The following is a 2555-nucleotide window of genomic DNA, read 5'->3' as shown; positions in this document are numbered from 1 at the left end:
ACTGAACTCTAAACTGAATGTGTGATGATAAAAGGGAAACACAGGGCCGGGCGCGGTGGCTCACGCCTGTAATCCCAGCACTTTGGGAGGCCAAGGTGGGCAGATCACAAGGTCAGGAGATCGAGACCATCCTGGCTAACACGGTGAAACCCCGTCTCTACTAAAAATACAAAAAAATTAGCTGGGCGTGGTGCCGGACGCCTGTAGTCCCAGCTACTTGGGAGGCTGAGGCAGGAGAATGGTGTGAACCCGGGAGGCGGAGCTTGCAGTGAGCCAAGATCGCGCCACTACACTCCAGCCTGGGCGACAGAGCGAGACTCTGTCTCAAAAAAAAAAAAAAAGGGAAACACAAAAAATAGCAAGTAATTTATTTTGTGATGTGCATGGCACCAAATAATAGTTTAATTTGTATAGCACTTTCCAAGCCAACAAATTCTATGACATAAATTACCTCATCTAAACCTCACAGAAACCAGGTGAAGTGTGCAAGGCATTATCTGGTTTTCACACGTGGAAAATGTTCTCACAAGGGTAAACAGCTTTGCCAAGGTCACACAATAAATGGTTAGGCTGGGGCTTGAGTGCTGGCCATACAATTCCTAGCTCCTTCTGAGAATTCCACTTTGAAGATAAAAATAATCTTCCATCTGTATCTCTCGATGAAGACTGAGTGAGCATACCAGAGATCTGGATTCATCTACAATTTGAAAATTTGTTTTAAATGTTTTATACTGGACAAGGTCCAGAATATATTTCAGAAGACAAATTCTCCCCTTGAATGTTGAAATGTATGTCCTTAAGGATAAATTAAATCCATATGTTTCTGATCAATTTGCACTTACTGTAATTCATTAAAATGCTTCTTTGGAAGTTATTGAGTGTTCAAGCGCCTTTTGAGTCTTTCTCCAAGTATTGGAAAACATTTCTATTAATAGCCTTAAAATCAATGTAAAGTTCTTTGCAAAAGTATAGACTTGGTCCATTCATTATTTTTTTTTTGAAATGGGGTCTCACCTGTTGCCCAGGCTAGAGTGCAGTGGCTCACTGTAGCCTTGACCTCATGGGCTCAAATGATCCTCCTACCTTAGCCTCCTGAGTAGCTGGAATTACAGGCATGTGCCACTATGCCTGCCTAATTTTTGTTTTTTTTTTTTTTTTTTTTCTTTTGTAGAGATAGGGTCTCACTATGTTGCCTAGGTTGGTCTTGAACTCTTGGCGTTAAGCAATCCTCCCACCTCAGCCTCCCAAAGTGCTCACGTTACAGTAATGAGCCACTGCACCTGGACAGTACAGTCATTTTTAGGAGGGTGACCCTTGGGTGAGTTTAGAGATTTGAACTTTATCCTGTTTCTCAGCCTTCTCAGCCTTAAAGTGGAAGGAGAAGGGCCCCAAATAGAGATGGGAAACCATTTGCCCTTTGAGTGCTTAAAGCTCAGGTGAAGAGGCAGTTAATATATTACACATCTCTAGCATGTCTAAATGTACAAAACTCAACCATGCTCCGTCCATCTGTCCATCCATCCATCCATCCATCCAGCCACCCATCTAAACATCCAGATATTCAGTCACTCAAATGACATTCTCCAGAGTCCCACAATTTTTTTTTTTTTTTTTTTTTTTTTTGAGACGGAGTCTTGCCCTGTCGCCCAGGCTGGAGTGCAGTGGCGCGATCTCAGCTCACTGCAAGCTCCGCCTCCCTGGTTCACGCCATTCTCCTGCCTCAGCCTCCCAAGTAGCTGGGACTACAGGCGCCTGCCACCACGCCCGGCTAATTTCTTTGTATTTTTTTTTAGTAGAGACGGGGTTTCACCGTGTTAGCCATGATGGTCTCAATCTCCTGACCTCGTGATCCGCCCGTCTTGGCCTCCCAAAGTGCTGGGATTACAGGCGTGAGCCACTGCGCCCAGCCCAGAGTCCCACTATTAACTAGGCATGTAGAAGATTATTATTATTTTTCTGGTGAGTTACAGTATAAGTAAATTTTGTGTTTGTTTTTTATAGTTTTATTATTTTATCTCACAATCATTCCCAAATTATTTATATATATTTGTTCTGATAGATAATATTTGTACATATTTATGGGGCACATGTGATATTTTGTTACATGCATAGAATGTATAAATGATCAAGTCAGGGTATTTAGGGCATCTACTATCTCAAGTATTCATCATTTCTATGTGCTGGGAACATTTCAAAACCTCCCTATATTATGTATATTTTGAAATATACAATGCATTGTTAACTGTAGTCACCCTACTCTGCTACTGAACATAGAACTTACTTCTTCTATCTAACTGTATGTTTGTATCCATTAACCAACCTCTCTTGATCTCCCACCCCTGCCCCCACACCCTTCCCAGGCTCTGATATCTATCATTCTGCTCTCTATCTCCATGAGATCAACTTTTTTACTCCCACAATATGAGTGAGAACATACAATATTTGTCTTTCTGTGCTTGGCTTATTTCACTTAACATAAGGATCTCCAGTTCCATCCATGTTGCTGCAAATGACATGATTTCATTATTTTTATGACTGAATAGTATGCAATTGTG

This window comes from Homo sapiens, chromosome X (genome assembly GCF_000001405.40).
Source record: "Homo sapiens chromosome X, GRCh38.p14 Primary Assembly".
Classification (NCBI taxonomy): Eukaryota; Metazoa; Chordata; class Mammalia; order Primates; family Hominidae; genus Homo; species Homo sapiens.
This window is presented reverse-complemented; position numbering follows the sequence as displayed.